The following is a 16,511-nucleotide window of genomic DNA, read 5'->3' as shown; positions in this document are numbered from 1 at the left end:
CGTACTTAATATTTCCATATATATAAATATATTTAATATTTTCTTTCTTTTGGATTACTTCCTTGGGATAAATTTCTAGGAGTTGTATTATTGAATCAAAACATAACTATAGCTGTAATTTCTATAACTCTCAAAATATATTGTCAAAGGGATTTCCATTCATTCATTCACCAAATATTTATTGAACACTTTCTTCTTGCCAGACACTGAATAAGTGTTAGGGTTACAATGGTGAGGAAAAACATACAGCCCATTCTCATAGATCCCGCTGTCTAGTTGCAGAGAGAGACTCCATCAGGTCATCGCACAGATGGATGCAATTATAACCATGCTAAGTATTAGTAAGGAGAGAGGCATGGAGCTGTAAGAGTATTTGATGGTGGAACTCTCCTTTGCCTGTTGGTTAATGGAAGGATTTCCTAAGGAAAAAGTGATTGTGCTTGGGGCTTAAGGATGACTAGGAGCTAACTAGACCAAAGGTGGAAAGGAACAAAATTCTAGACACAGGGAGTAGCATGTGCATATGCCTTTTGGTAAAGCACATGGAACCGGAAGAAGACCGCAATAGCTGGAGCCAAATGGGTGGGGGAGCATGGGGCAAGACCATGCATGGGCTGTGGGCCATGTGAAGAGCTTTGGTCTTTATCCTGGGAGCAACGGGATCCTACTGAACAGGACGTGTGCTTCAAAACACTCTGGCTGTTGTGTAGTGGGAGGGAGCTTGAGAAAGGATGGGGGTACCAATGGAGAGCTTTGCAGTTGTCCAGATGAAGGATGCTAGTTGCTTAGACGATGAGCATGGGGATAGAGATGGGGATAAGGGGATGCATTTAGGAAGTACTGAGGAGGTAAAATTGGCAAAACTTGGTAGTGGCTTTGACTTAAGATGTAGTGGGAAGGAGAGGAGAGAAGGGAATCTGAAGGATGATTCCTGGTGTAAGAAAGAGGAATGATAGCACCATCCGCAGACATAAGGATCAATGGAAGAGGACGCGATTGGGGTAGTTTTGTACATAAGGAATTCAAGTGTCTTTGAAATAGACAGGATGAACCAGCAAGTGGGCAACTGGACTGTGTGTCTGAAACTCAGAGCAGAGTTTAGGTAAGAGCCGTGAACTTATGAGTCGTCAGTATACAGACAGCTGGCCAAAGAGCCTGCAGGAGATGTGGGAGGAAAATCAGGAGGACATGATGTCACAGAAGCCAAGAGAAGAGTGTGACAGGAAGGAGAGAGTGGTTGCTAGTGTCAAATGCTGCTGAGAGGCCTCAGCAAATGGAAGTCAATCCATGGTGACCTTGGCAAGACATAATGATGAACAAACAGGGTGGGAAAATGAATGAGAAATAGGGGGATGGGAGTAGTGTGTTTATGCAACCTTTCCAGAATGTGACTGAGACGGCAGAGTGGGAGGATAGAAGGCAGAGTGAGGGCTTGAGGAAGGAGTTTTGGTTTCATATATTTTTTCAGAAAGGAGGACTTGTGTGTATGTTGAATGCTGATGGGAAAATCTGAGTCGAGAGCAGCAGGGTAAATGTAAAGGGAGAAGTGACAGTTGATGATAAAGTCTCCACAGAGGTGGGAGAGGATGACATCTTCTTTCAGGCGAAGAGACCACTTTGTTAGGGGAAGGGATGCCTTTCCCATAACAGGCTTGCACTCATTTATAGGACTTCCAGTGAGGACTTAGAAGAGCATTTGGTTTAATTCTATGTTGTTGCCATCTTGAATTTTCTTTTCTTTTCTTTTTCTTTCTTTCTTTTTTTTTTTTTTTTTTTTTTTTTTTGATACAGGGCTCTATTGCCTAGGCTGGAGTGCAATAGCACGATCACGGCTCACTGCAGCTTCAACCTCCCTGGGCTGAAATGATCCTCCTGCCTCAGCCTCCTGAGTAGCTGGGACTCCAGGCACATGTATGCCACCACACCCAGCTAATTTTTGTATTTTTTGTAGAGATGGGGTTTTGCCATGTTGCCCAGGCCGGTCTTGAACTCCTGAGCTCAAGCGATCTGCCCGCCTTGGCCTCCCAAAGTGCTGGGACTACAGGCATGAGCCACTGAGCCTGGCCGTTTGAAATTCTTAATGATTTTTGAAAAAGAGGCGCTACATTTTCAGTTTGCACTGGACTCTGCAGATCACGGGGCTGGTCCTACCTCCAACAACGTCAGAGCTACTGCTTTCCCCCAGACCTCACCAGAATGGAATATAATCATCTCAACCTTTTTGTTATGGCTGTTAATTTAATAGGTGGAAATGTGCGCCTCAGTTGTTTTAATTTGCATTTCTTTGATTACTGGCCAGGTTGACTGTGTTTCCTCACAGTCTGTTTACTAACCATGCTTCCTTTTATGTGAGCCGCCTGTGTCCTTTGCCCATTTATGTTTTCAAATGCCAAAATAAGTTTCCTCTCTGTGGGAATGAATCATCAATTTTTTAAATGTATGGAGAGAATGTTTTCTGCAGAAACAGCCTGGGGTTTCAGGAAGGCAGGCCCAGTTCAGGGGTGCCTTGGGAGCAAAGGTCCTGTCATTCCAACACTAAGGTAAGAATAGTCCCGTTGGTGTACGGCAGTCTTTGAATGGAATACTTTTCCATCTAGGTTCTTCTTGAATCCTCAGCTGTCTGAAAGCTATGTCTGCCCCTCTGTGCCATGCCTAGGCTTTTCCTCCTGCCTGGCCTGCCTGCCATCTCCCCATGGACTGCCCCATGACCAGACTCACGGCACCCTAGTTATGCTGTTATTTAAATATTCAAATGTTTCTGTATATGTTTCTACATATGTGTATTTATATATACATCAATATAAATATAGATGTATATATAAGTAAACATATCAACATATATCTATATTGATATATATAAGTAAACATATATCAACATATATCTATATTGATATATAGATATAAATACACACATATATAACATTTTACAGTAATTATTGATTTTACATCTGTTTTCTTTTCTGGGCCACGAGCTCCCTCATGCTTTAGGCTCTTCCTTTCTTTCTTTTCCTTTTTAAAATTGTTATTTTATTTTATTTTTCTAATAGAGACAGGGTCTCTCTGTCACCCAGGCTGGAGTGCAGTGGTGCAATCATAGCTCACTGCAGCTTCAGACTCCTGGGCTCAAGCGATCCTCCCGCCTCAGCCTCCCAAAGTGCTGCTGGAATTACACGGGATTACAGGCATGAGCCACCACACTGGGCCCCCTTCCTCCCTCCCTTTCTTCCCTTCCCCTTCCTTCCTTCTTTCCTTCCTTCCTTCTTTCCTTCCTTCCTTCCTTCCCTCCTTCCTTCCTCCCTCCTTCCCTCCCTTCTCTTTCTCTCTCTTTCCCTTCCTCTCTCTGTTCTTCACTCATTTGTTCACTCTCCCTCTTTCTCTCTTCATCCTCATTGCCTCACATGGTGTCTGCACATAACAGGCACTCAACTTGATGTCAACAAGTGGATGAAATCAAGTGATGAGTAACTTGTATGTGAAGCTCTCAGGGCTGCTTTCTTCTCCATCCCCATAGTTCTTTTATCCCTGGCTACGTTCTGTTTTTCTGAGCACATCTGAGCAGCATGCTCTATCTGGGGCACAAACTTAAGGGACTAGAGTCTCTGGAATGCTCAGTCTGGAGAGGAAGGGAGCTGGGACCCTGCCATCCGATATTTGAAAGCTGTTGATTCCTCATCGTGATGAAGGGGTAAGAGGGTTGGCTTTGGATCTAGTCTGATGTGTGTTCAAATCCAGCTCTGCCACTAGTTGTGTATTCTGGGGATGAGTGGCTTAACTCCCAAGTTTGTGTTTCCATAAAAAGGGGCTTGCTTAATTCAAAGGTGTTGGGAAGATTAAATAAGGTGGACAATGTTAAAGCAGATAGCCTAGGACCTTGTGCCTAGTAGGTGATTATTCATCTGGAGTTGGTTTAGAAACTGCCCTATAGAGAGATCCCTCTTGTTAGCATTGGAACCAATGAGTGGAAGATACAAGAAAAGAAGATTTCAACTAGATGTCCAACAGCCAGGGACAACCAAAGATGGAATGAGCTTTTTGGAAGGAACATCCCTGATAGTAGAGAGATGAACATAAAGGCTGAGATATTATAAACTTGAACTATAACTATATAGATATTATAAATTTGAACTATATTGTAGTTCAAATTGTCATTCATATGGCAGTTTGAACTAATCCTCTAGTGATCTTTAGGGCCCCATCTAACCTTGGGGAACTTGGATTCTGTGACTGATACTGGGAAGTCCACCGTAGTATATATATGTTGGGCACTTTCAAACATCCATTGTCTTTCCTCTTTCTTCTTACCAAGCCAATCAGTTTATCTTTTCAAAAAACCAACTTTTCGGCTGGGTGCAGTGGCTCACACCTGTAATCCCGGCACTTTGGGAGGCTGAGGTGGGCAGATCACAAGGTCAAGAGATCGAGACCATCCTGGCCAACATGGTGAAATCCCGTCTCTATTAAAAATACAAAAATTAGCTGGGCGTGGTGGCACGTGCCTGTAATCCCAGCTACTTTGGAGGCTGATGCAGGATAATCGCTTGAACCTGGGAGGCGGAGGTTGCAGTGAGCAGAGATCACGCCACTGTATTCCAACCTGGCGACAGAGTGAGATTCTGTCACAAAACAAACAAACAAACAAACAAAAAACCCAACTTTTCGTTTTAATAATCTTTTTTATTGTTTTCTTCATTTCAATTTCATTTATTTCTGTTCTGATCTTCATGATTTCTTTTTTTTTCTACTAATTTTGGGTTTGGTTTGCTCTTATTTTTCTAGTTCTTTAAGATGCATAGTTAGGTTGCTTATTTGAAGTTTTTCTGCTTTTTTGATGTAGATGCTCATAGCTACAAATGTTCCTCTTAGTACTGTCTTCGCTGTATCCCATAGGTTTTGGTATGTTGTGTTTCCATTATCTTTTGTTTCAAGAAATTTTTCAATATCTTCTTAATTTCTTTATTGGCCCACTGGTTATTCAGGAGCATACTGTTTAATTTCCATGTGTTTGTATAGTTTCCAAATTTCCTCTTGTTATTGATTTCTAGTTTTATTCCTTTGTGGTTAGAGAAGATACTCAATACAATTTCAATTTTTTTGAATTTTTAAAGACTTGTTTTGTGGCCTAACATATGGTCTATTCTTGAGAATGATCCACATGCTGAGGAGAATAATATGTCTTTTTTTTTTTTTTTTTTTTTTTGAGATGGAATCTTGCTCTGTCGCCCATGCTGGAGTGCAGTGGCGTGATCTCAGCTCACTGCAAGCTCTGCCTCCCGGGTTCACGCCATTCTCCTGCCTCAGCCTCCTGAGTATCTGGGACTACAGGTGCCCGCCACCATGCCTAACCAATTTTTTTGTATTTTTAGTAGAGTCGGGGTTTCACCGTGTTAGCCAGGATGGTCTCGATCTCCTGACCTCGTGATCCGCCAGCCTCGGCCTCCCAAAGTGGTGGGATTATAGGCTTGAGCCACTGTGCCCGGACAAGAATAATATGTATTCTGCAGCCATTGGATGAAATGTTCTGTAAATAACCATTATGTCCATTTGGTCCATAGTCCAGATCAAGTCTAATGTTTCTTTGTTGATTTTCTGTCTGGATGATCTGCCCAATGCTGAAAGTGAGGTGTTAAAGTCTTCAGCTCTTTTTGTATTGGCGTCTGCCTCTCTCTTTAGTTCTAATATTTGCTTTAAATATCTGTGTGCTCCAGTGTTGGGTGCATATATATTTACAATTGTTATATCCTCTTGCTGAATTAATCCCTTTATCATTATATAATGACTTTCTTTGTCTATTTTTATAGTTTTCATCTTGAAATCTATTTTGTCTCATATGAATATAGCTACCCCTGATCTCTTTTGGTTTCCATTTGCATGGGCTGTCTTTTTCCATCCCTTTATTTTCAGTCTATGTGTGTTTTTATAGATGAAATGTGTTTTTTATAGGTAACAGGTCACTGGGTCCTGTTCTTGTTTCCATTCAGCCACTCTATGTCTTTTGATTGGAGAGTTTCTCCATTTACACTCAATGTTATTATTAAGAAGTAAGAACTGACTCCTGCATTTTGTTGCTTTCTGGTTGTTTTGTGGTCTTTTCTTCCTTCTTTCCCTCCTTCCTGTCTTCCTTTTAGTAAGGGTTATTTTCTCTGGTGGTATGTTTTAATTTTTGTGTTTTATTTTTTGTGTATCTGTTGTATGTTTTTTGATTTCAGGTTACCATTAGGCTTGCAAATAATATTTTATAATCTATTATTTTAAATAGATGACAAGTTAACACTGACTGCATAGACAAACTCACAAACAAGCAAAGGGAAAACTAATAAAAACTCTATACTTTAACTTCATCCCTCTGCTTTTTAACTTTTTGTCGTTTCTATTTATATTAATATCTTATTGTACTGTCCATGTCTTGAAAAGTTACTGTAGTTATTATTTTTTATCAGTTTCACCTTTTAGGCTTTCTACTCAAGATATGAGAGATTTCCACACCAATTACAGTGTTATATTCTGTGTTTTTCAGTGTACATACAATTACCAGTGAATTTTGTACCTTCATATGATTTCTTACTGCTCATTAACATCCTTTTCTTTCAGGTTAAAGAACTCCCTTTAGCATTTCTCGTAGGACAGGTCTGGTGTTAATGAAATCCCTCAGCTTTTGTTTGTCTGGAAAAGTGTGTCTCCTTCATGTTTAAAGGATATTTTAGCTGGATATACTACTCTAAGGTAAAAGGTTTTTTTTTTTCCCTTCAGCACATTAAATATGTAATGACATTCTCTCCTAGCCTATAAAGTTTCCACCTAGAAATCTGCTGCTGGACACATTGGAGCTCTGTTGTATGTTATTTGTTTTTTTTCTCTTGCTGCTTTCAGGGTCATTTCTTCATCCTTGACCTTTGGGAGTTTGATTATTACATGTCTTGAGGTCATCTTATTTGGGTTAAATCTGCTTGATGTTCTTCTATAACCTTCTTGTACTTGAATGTTGATATCCTTCTCTAGGTTTGGGAAGTTCTCTGTTACTATCCCTTTGAATAAACTTTCTACCCCTATCTCCCTCTCTGCCTCCTCTTTAAGGCCAATAACTCTTATATTTGTTCCTTTGAGGCTATTTTCTAGATCTTGTAGGCATGCTTCATTCTTTTTTCTCTGGTCTCCTCTGATTGTATATTTTCAAATAGCCTGTTTTCAGGCTCACTAATTCTTTCTTCTGCTTGATCAATTCTGCTGTTAAGAGACTCTGATACATTCTTCAGTTTGCCAGTTGTACTTTTCAGCTCCGGAATTTCTGCTTGAGTCTTTTTAATTATTTCAATTTCTTTGTTAAATTTATCTGATAGGATTCTGAATTCCTCCTCTGCGTTATCTTGAATTTAATTTTCCTCAAAATAGCTATTTTGAATTTTCTGTCTGAAAGGTCACTTATCTCTATCTCTCCAGGATTGGTCACTGATGTCTTATGTAGTTTGTTTGGGGAGCTCATGTTTTCCTGGATGGTCTTGATGCTTGCGGATGTTCATTGAGGTCTGGATATTGAAGAGTTAGGTATTTATTGTAGTCTTCAAAGTCTGGCAATCTGGGCTTGTTTGTACTCATCCTTCTTGGGAAGGATTTCCAAGTATTCAAAAGGGCTTGGGTGCTGTGATCTAAGTTTTTGGTCACTGCAGCTATATCTGCATTAGGGATACTCCAAACCCAGTAATGCTGTGGCTCTTGCAGACTCATAGAGGTACTGCCTTGGTGGTCATGGATAAGATCCAGAAGCATTATATAGATTACCAGGCAGAGCTCTTGTTCTTTTTCCTTATTTTCTCCCAAACAGAGTCTCTCTGTGTTGAGCTTCCTAGAGCTGCAGGAGGGGTAACACAAGCATCTCTTTGACCACCACCACTAGGACTGCACTGGGTCAGACATGAAGCCAGCACAGCACTATGTCTTATCCAAGGCCTGCCATAACCACTGCCTGGCTACCACCTACGTTCACTCAAGTCTCTAGGGCTTTACAATCGGCAGGTGGCAAAGCCAGCCAGACTTGGATCCTTCTTTTCAGGGTGGTGAGTTTCCCCTGGTTCTGATGGGTCCAGAGATGCCATCCAGGAGCCAGGGCCTAGAGTCGGAAACCTTAGGAAACCACCTGGTACTTTATTTCTACTACAGCTGAATTGGCACCCAGGCAAGACAAAGTCCTTTCTACTCTTCCCTTCTTCTTCTACAAGCAGAGGAGCCTTTCCCCATGTCCATCACCACCCTAGGCCTCAGCAAGTACTGCCTGGTTACTGCTAATGCTCATTCAAGGCCCAAGGGCTCTTCAGCCAGCTTGTGGTGAATGCTGCCAAACCTGGGACTCTCCCTTCAAGGCAGTGGGCTCCCCTCTGGCCCAGGGCAGGTCCAGAAATGCCATCCAAGAGCTGAGGCCTGGAATTTGGGACCCCAACAGCATAGTTGGTGCTCTACCCCACTGTGACCAAGCTAGTACCTACGCTGATTTTTGGTTCTTAAGAAGGTGTTTTTGTGTGGATAGTAGTTGTTCAATTTGGTGTTCCTGCAAGGAGGATGATCAGTGGAGGCTTCTATTTGGCCATTTCAGTCTGTCTCCTTTCCTTAATCCAATCAGTTTATCTTATTCTCCAGCTATAGACACTTGTTCAGAAATAGCCATTTCAGTCCAAGAAGATACAAGGAGGTGTCTGCTTGAGGTTTTGAAAGAGAACTGTCTTCTCTCATCTCCAACCAGAAGGAACTATGAGAGAGAGAGAGAAAGAGAGAGAGAGAGAAAGAGAGAGAGAGAGAATATGTGCTCATCTTAGGATAAGACTGTCAGATAAAATACTAGACACTCTATGAAACTTGAATTTCATATAAATAGCAAGTAATTTTTTAGTATAATTATGTCCCAAATACTGCATGGGACATACTCATACTAAAAAAAATTGTCTATATGAAAGTGAAATTTAAATAGACATCCTGTATTTTTTTCTTCCTTTTTCTAGCAACCCAGTGATTCCATGGAAAGCAGAAAGAAGGACATAAAGAAACGGATACTTGGTGACATCTTTGACTCACTGGATCAAACCTTGCCTGAAGCTCACATTTCTGAAATTTCCAGATACAAGAACAAATACTTCCTCTTTATTGTTTTACTAGATTTGAGACAAGCTTTAAGTTTCTCAGACTCTTCCTCTTCCTAACAGATTTATCAGAAGCTGAAAGCTCTGATCTTGTTGGGATGCGGATCGTGTCAGGAGAAGGCTTACTTTGCACGCTTTTCTTAGTCTGGTTGCCTAACTCAAGAACCTCGGCATGGCTCTGTTACTTCTCTACTCAGACAAGCATCCCTGCAGACACTCACTAGGCTAACTCTGTCTTTATTTTTAGAATTAGACCTTTACGAGAAGCACAGTTTTGTCTTCAGTTTCCTCTCCCCCCACCCGGAATGGCCTGAGCCGAAGCCAGCTCCCTCCGAGAAGTCATTACCGCCTGGTGGGTACTGCAGCCTCAGCCCTCTACACAGACTGGCCAGTGTCTGCTTGGCTCCAGGGCAGTGAGGAGCTGCCTTGGGACTAACAGAAAATTGGCCAGCTTGTTTTTCTTTGGGACCAGAAGAAACCAGCTCTTTTAAATCTCAATGGCCAGGCTTGGAAACCTAGCTTGCCAGAAGAATGGGAGGGAGGAGAGAAGCGGTCCTTTTGGGGAGGCTCTGGCCAGGGCATTAAAAAGGCAGGATTTTGCTGGAAACAGTGTGCCCTGGCCAAGACCAGGTGGAAAGATCAATTTGGGCTTTATGAATTAGCCCCTTCATTTATTCTGGGTCTGCTTTTCCTCATCTGTAAAATAGTGTTGGACCATCAGACAAAATATCAGCTATCAATCTTGTCCCAGGGCCCAGGGGAGGGTCACGGGGTCCTAGTTACCAGGCCCTAGGGTTTCAGGCAACAGATTGAGTACAGAAGGTAAAAGCTGAGATGTGGGACAGGCCCAACAACAAGAGTATTGACCTCAACCTTCAAATCTGCTTAACCCAGGAGAACAAGCTGGGCACAACAGCGCTGCTTTCAACAGCCACCTGTAACCCATCTCCTTGTATTTCTGACCTTGCCTTGCCTAGACGCTAACCCTCAACTCCATTTATACTCCCAACAGACTTGCGTTTGATATTTAGACACCTTGGTCACAACATCTTGCATTCTCTCGGGATGCTGATTTCTAACTGCTCTTTGGCCTTTCCTGCATTGGTCCTCCTCAGGCAGGGGATCCCTGCTCTTCTATATTAGTGAGTATTGCTGTTGTAACAAACAGACCCAAACATAATGCAAGTTTATGTCATGCCTCATTTAACACTGCAGGGCTGTTCTAGTTTGGGGTCAGACATGGTGAGCGTGAGGGCATCCTTCTCCATGCAGTGGTTCAGAGATTTTGGCTGATGGCAGGCATGCCAACTTTAAATTGGCCTCCAAAGTCATGCTGGAGAGCACCGTTAACCAGAAGGAGTTAACCAGAAGGAGAAGGAGTGTGGAAGGGTTTTATCCATCAGGCCTGAGAAGAGCACACGTCTATCACTTTTCATTGATCAGAATTAGGTTGCTTGGCCACACTCAGCTGCAAGAATGCAGTCTAGCCGTGTGCTCAGGATGAACTGGAAATGGGTTGGGTGGACAGCTGGCCAGTGTCTGCCCTGCCCCACTTTAGCCCACTGGCATCTCTGGCAGCCTGGGCTGATGGCCCACCCGGGCTCAGATGCTGGACCCACCCAAGTGTTCCTGAAAGTCCTCCGACTGGATGGGAGTGGTTTGAGAGTTTGAGAAGTGTTATTTCTATCTCAGATGGATTAAGTAGAAGGATGTGGAGCAGTGAACCAGGCACGAGGCGGCACAACTGTCATCAACCATTGTCACCCGTCACTAAGCACATGCCCTCCAGGCCTAAAAAGTCTACCTTGCCACTGCTAGGGGACGAAATGAGTGAGGACGAGATGCTAGGGAGCTCACCAGAATCTCAAGAGATGTTTCTCAGTCCCATGGCTCTGACATTTCTCAGGAAATCTTAGTGTGTGAGTGTGTGTGTGTGTGTGTGTGTGTGTGTGTATGATGATGATGACATAAAATAATCATAACAATGCAGAGAAGTTTTATTACTATTATTATTCACATTTTACAGGTGAGAAAACCAAGGCTCAGAGAAACTGTGGATTTTCTAAGGGTAAATTTTAAGCTAGGTCATCCGATTCCATATCCCAAACCTCTCCCATTGCCACACTCTCTCTTCCTGTGTGTCCTACAGTCTACTCAAATGCCACATGCCATGAAGCCTGTGGCTCCCACCTCTGAATCTCCATCCCCTTCACCTGTGTGTCTTTTAGGTTTGACTTGTGATTGGATTTTTGTGTGTGTCTTGTTCCCCTATAAGTTTCTTGAGGGCAGAGAGCATGTTGCAGTCACCTCTGAACCTCCTTCTGCTGAAAGCAACCTACACGTAAATATCCATTCTATGAATGAAAACTTTCGTCAGAGGATTCTTGAATTCGGTTAAATGGAAAATCGAAGCCACCCATGAAAAAAAGATCAAAGGACAATTTATAGTAAAACACACCCTTGCTCCTGTATTTTGCTTCACACTGTGTTCCCTTTTCTCATGTCCTTGGTTTTCCCAGGCGGGCTTCCACAGGGCTTGGCTCATTCACTCTGGCTAGAGAATTTCCTAACATTTTGTTTATTAATACTACTAGTAGTTCCATTACTATGAATAGCTGCAATTTACAGAGCCTCTAACTGGTATCCTCCTTGAGTGCAGGTCCTGTGTGGCCCCTAGACCCCAGCTCAGGTCCAGCCCATGGATGCTTTCAATATGTGTTTTTAGCATAAATGAAGAGATCTATTTAGTGCCAGGCATTGGGTCTGACTGTCAATATACATTACCTTTAATTTTCAAAATCACCTAGTGAGGAAAGTCTTATAATTACTATTTTATAGATGAGGAAACTGAGGCTTAGTGAGGTTAAGTTATTGGCCCAATGTCACGCAGCTAGAATGTGGTTGATCTCAGATGCCAATCAAGGACGCTCAGAGCTCAGCTGGTTAAATCAGCTGCCTCCTGGTGTCCTTTGCCTTACTGTAGCCTACTCTCTCTCTTTTGTTTATACTATGGTTTGGATGTGGTTTGTCCCCCACCAAAACTCATGTTGAAATTTGATCCCCCATGTAGCAGTGTTGGGAGGTGGGGTTGGGTGGGAGGTGTTTGTGTCATCGGGGCAGATCCCTCATGAATAGATTAATGCCATCTTGTGAGGGTGAGCATGTTCTCAGTCTTACAGGAATGGATTAGTTACCCTGAGAACAGGTTGTTACAAAGAGTTTGGCTTCCTCGGTTGCTTTCTCTGTTTCTCTCTCATCATGTGATCTCTTTGCAGATGCTGGCTCCCCGTCCCCTGTCCACCATGAGTCAAAGCAATGTGAGTCCCTCACCAGATGCAACTGCCCAGTCTTGGACTTTCCAGTGACCAGAATCATGAGCCAAATAAACCTCTTTTCTTTATGAATTACCCAGCCTCAAGTATTCTGTTATAGCAAAACAAAACAGACAAAGACAGTTTACCTACTTACTTACTAACTCAGGAAATATTTTTGAGCATCTATTATGTGGATTACACCACAAAAGGATGAACAATGCAGACATCATCTTTGCTGTAAAAGAGCTCATGGGCCAGCAGTCAAGATAGATATTGAACAAGTGAAAGTCTGGTTAGATGCACAACTTAATGTCTGGTAAGTGCCACAGGGGAAAGAGGAGAACACCGTGAGGAATTTTCTTGTCTTGAATGGTCAGAGAAAGCCTTTCTGAAGCTTGAACTTATAGGATAAAGTGTAACAAAGAGCCAGCCTGGGGATGGAGGCTGTTCCAGGCAGTGGTAACAGTACTGGAGTAAGAACAGTACTAGAGCAAGAACATGGTGGGCATATAGAAAGGCAGAGAGAAAGCCATTGTGGCTGGGGCTGGTGGGAAGAGAACCATGAATGGAGGTGAGCTGCAAGCAATGAACAGATGGTAGGGCCACTGGATGAGGATCCTGCATCATATTCTCAGGGCAATGGCAGACCAGGGAAGAGTTTAAGCAGGGGAACTGCTTGTGCAGCAAAGGGATTTGATGTGTACCAGAGTGGAAGCAGGCAGGAGGTTATGGCAATAACTCAGGCAAAGAGATAAAGGTGGCTTGAACCAGAGGAGAGGCAATGAAGGTAGAGAGTAAGGGACAGATTGGCGATGGTGTTTCATAGTGGAATCAACAGGGCTCAGTGATGAAGTCTGCAAAGGAGTCAGGATTTCTACACATTGCCAGGGGTTGGGCTAAATCCAGTCCGTATAAACATGGAGGACTCTGTACTAGGTTTTCCAAGAAGTTCTGATGAAGAGGTTCAAGTTTATCCCATCACATGAGAGCACTTAAGTCTTCCATTTGAGCATCTTTGATGGAAGGATACTTGAGTGAATACTAGTTCTGCCTGTGAGAATGTGATTATTACAGAGTTAAGGTTTGACACAAAGATGGGAAAGCCAACATGTCTCACCAAAGGGAAGACAGGTCAGTGGGTCTGGCCCCAAGGGCTTTCAGCTGTCTCAGGATGAGACACCAGGATGAAGCATTGGAAGGAGGTGTTTTGGCCCTGGCTCTGGGAAGGGCTCCAGGGCCCATGTGTCAGGAAGCAGAATGTGCCAGTGATATGGAGCTAGCCAATGAGTTATGGGAAAAAAAGCCCAGTTGAGGGGTCACTGGCTAAACTGGGCTAAGATGGTGCTCAAAGGAACCCAAGAAATTGGGAAAGTTTTCATGATCCCTTGTGAGACTTGAGAAGGGTTGGGGTCATTATCCCCTCTCCTTTCTTTCCCAGAAATTCTCCAATGGATCTCCTGAATGTGTTCTATTTCGTAAAGGACTTGTTAGGAATGCCTTCATTTAACCTCTGGGCTTAGCCGCATCCACTGGATTTGTCCATCTGTTGGGTGAGATTGACTTTCTGTGGCTTGGTAATCCTTGGGTTCCAGCTCAATGCAAATAATAGGAGTTCTTCAATTAATGTCTGCCTTCCACCTCCCTCTCTACTCCTGACCCCATACGCACCCTGCCTCTGGCTGCACCACAACCCTACCTCTGGGTAAGATAACCTCTCCCACGTCCCAGCCTTCTGCTGGGGATAGGGCTTGGACCCCCAGGCCACAAGTGGCAGTGGCAGCCACCACACCACTCTGAGTCATCCGATCTCAAGAGGCAGGTCTCGCACTCTTGCTCCTGAAGAAACCAGGCCATTTGAGCAAACCTGCAATGGGCCACATATTTCCCCCTTTTTTAAAAAAATAAGCACTCTTTGTGGCTCAGGTTGGCCCTCACCCTGGCTGGGTGAATTCTCTTCCAAAACCCTATGTCAGAGCATCCTTTGTAACACTTGGGGAAGAGAGGAGGCGGAAAAAAAGGGCTTCTGTTTATCCGGATGTTTGACATCCAGAGAAGGAATATTATTGTTTCTCCAGTCAAATACTGGGGCTTCATTGAAAAATATTTTCAATCTGCCGGACTGAAGGCCAGCGTCTTTGTGAACCTCAGCCAATACACACAGGCCCGGGGTGTTGGGTCAGGGCCTGTTTCTCCCAGGCAGCCACATTCCTGTCAGATGCCCTGAATATGGCATGTCTGGTCTCGGGTATGGAGGCAGCTGCTGGGACATTCTCCCATCCCGTGAGTGAGCAGAGCCAGGGAATTCTCTCCCTGCCATTACAGACCCAGCATCCTGGGGACAGCTGGAATAGGGATGGGATCATGCCAAGGAGGGGCTGTGAACTGAAAGTCACAGAATTAATGTAGTTAAATCCCCTTTCTGGCCAGCCAGCCTCCTCCCAGATGCAGGAGAATGCATCCTGCCTGGGATCAGGTATGCAGAGTTCACCTGTTCCCCTCTCTATCTGCCTGAATTTAAAACATTGGTTTGCCTAGACTGGGTAACTTCAGTAAAGTTTCAAGATACAAAATCAATGTACAAAACTTGGTAGCATTTCTATATACCAATAATGTTCAAGCTGAGAGCTGAATCAAGAATTCAATCTCATTTACGATAGCCATACCAAAAAATACCAAGGAATACATTTATTCAAGGAGGTGAAAGATCAATAAAAGGAGAACTGCAAGACACTGCTGAAAGAAATCATAGATGACACAAACAAATGGAAAAACATTTTATGCTCATAGATTGGAATAATCAATATTGTTTAAATGGCCATACTGCCAAAAGCAATCTATAAATTCAATGCCATTATTATCAAACTACCAATGTCATTTTTTGGAGAATTAGAGAAAACTATTATAAAATTCATATGGAACCAAAACAATGCCTGAATAGCCAAAGCAATCCTAAGCAAAAAGAACAAAGCTGGAGACACATTACCCAACTTCAAACTGTCCTACAAGGTTATAGTAATCACAACAGCATGGTACAAAAACAGACATATAGTCCAATGGAACAGAACAGAGAACCAAGAAATCAAGCTGCACACCTACAGCCATCTGATCTTTGACAAAGTTAACAAAAATAAGCAATAGGGAAAGGACTCACTATTCAATAAACAGCACTGGGTTAACTTGTTAACCATATGCAGAAGATTGAAGCTGGACCCATACCTATCACCATATTCAAAAATTAACTCAAGATGGATTAAATATTTTAATGAAATACCTAAAACTAAAAAATCCTAGATGAGACCTAGGAAATACTCTTCTGACACTGGCCTTGGCAAAGAATTTATGACTACGTCCTCAAAAGCAATTGCAACAAAACCAAAAATTGACAAGTAAGAGCTAATTAAACCAAAGAGCTTCTGCTCAGTAAAAGAAACTGTCAACAGAGTAAACAGACAACCTACAGAATGGGAGAAAATATTCACAAACTATGCATCTGACAAAGGTCTAATATATAGAACCTATAAGGAACTTAAATCAACAAGCAAAAAACAATGCCATTAAAAAGTGGGCAAAGGATATGAACAGATACCTCATAAAAGGAGACATACAAGTGATCAACAAACATGTGGAAAAAGGCTCAACACCGCTAATCATCAGAAAAATGCAAATCAAAACCACAACGAGATACCATCTCACACCAGACAGGATGGCTACTATTAAACAGTCAAAAAATAAATGTTGACGAGGCTGTGGAGAAAAGAAAATGTTTATACACTGTTGGTGGGAGTGTAAATTAGTTCAGCCACTGTGGAAAGCAGTTTGGAGATTTCTCAAAGAACTAAAAATAGAATTACCATTCAACCCAGCAATCCCATTACCGGGTATATAGCCAAAGGAAAATAAATTATTCTACCAAAAAGATACATGCACTTGTATGTTTATCACAGCACTATTCACAATAGCAAAGACATAGAATCAACCTAGGTGTCCATCAACAGTGGATTGGATAAAGAAAATATGGTGCATATACACCGTGGAATACTATTCTTGAACCCAAGAGGCGGAGGTTGCAGTGAGC

General features: G+C 42.7%; 1 long non-coding RNA gene across 1 annotated transcript in view, besides 1 other annotated feature; it reads left to right on the top strand.

Annotated features, from left to right (window-relative positions):
* SMAD3-DT (SMAD3 divergent transcript) overlaps window positions 1-12,425 on the top strand; it is a 79,976-nt gene extending 67,551 nt beyond the window's left edge. Inside the window, exons 3-6 of the long non-coding RNA NR_135686.1 lie at window positions 8,985-9,474; window positions 10,135-10,264; window positions 11,149-11,190; window positions 12,398-12,425. This is a non-coding gene — a long non-coding RNA (SMAD3 divergent transcript). The remainder of the gene's footprint in view (window positions 1-8,984; window positions 9,475-10,134; window positions 10,265-11,148; window positions 11,191-12,397) is intronic.
* Window positions 1,103-1,321: a silencer, noted in NCBI's record as "fragment chr15:67287649-67287867 (GRCh37/hg19 assembly coordinates)". NCBI's record gives its function as "represses an EF-1alpha promoter that drives an FKBP-Casp9 reporter gene in an ReSE screen in HepG2 liver carcinoma cells {active_cell/tissue: HepG2}" and the evidence as "EXISTENCE:reporter gene assay evidence [ECO:0000049][PMID:32094911]".
* Window positions 12,426-16,511: the final 4,086 nt, after the last annotated feature.

This window comes from Homo sapiens, chromosome 15 (genome assembly GCF_000001405.40).
Source record: "Homo sapiens chromosome 15, GRCh38.p14 Primary Assembly".
NCBI lineage: Eukaryota > Metazoa > Chordata > Mammalia > Primates > Hominidae > Homo > Homo sapiens.
The sequence above is the reverse complement of the archived record's forward strand: the minus strand, read 5'-3'. Positions and strand labels throughout refer to the sequence as shown.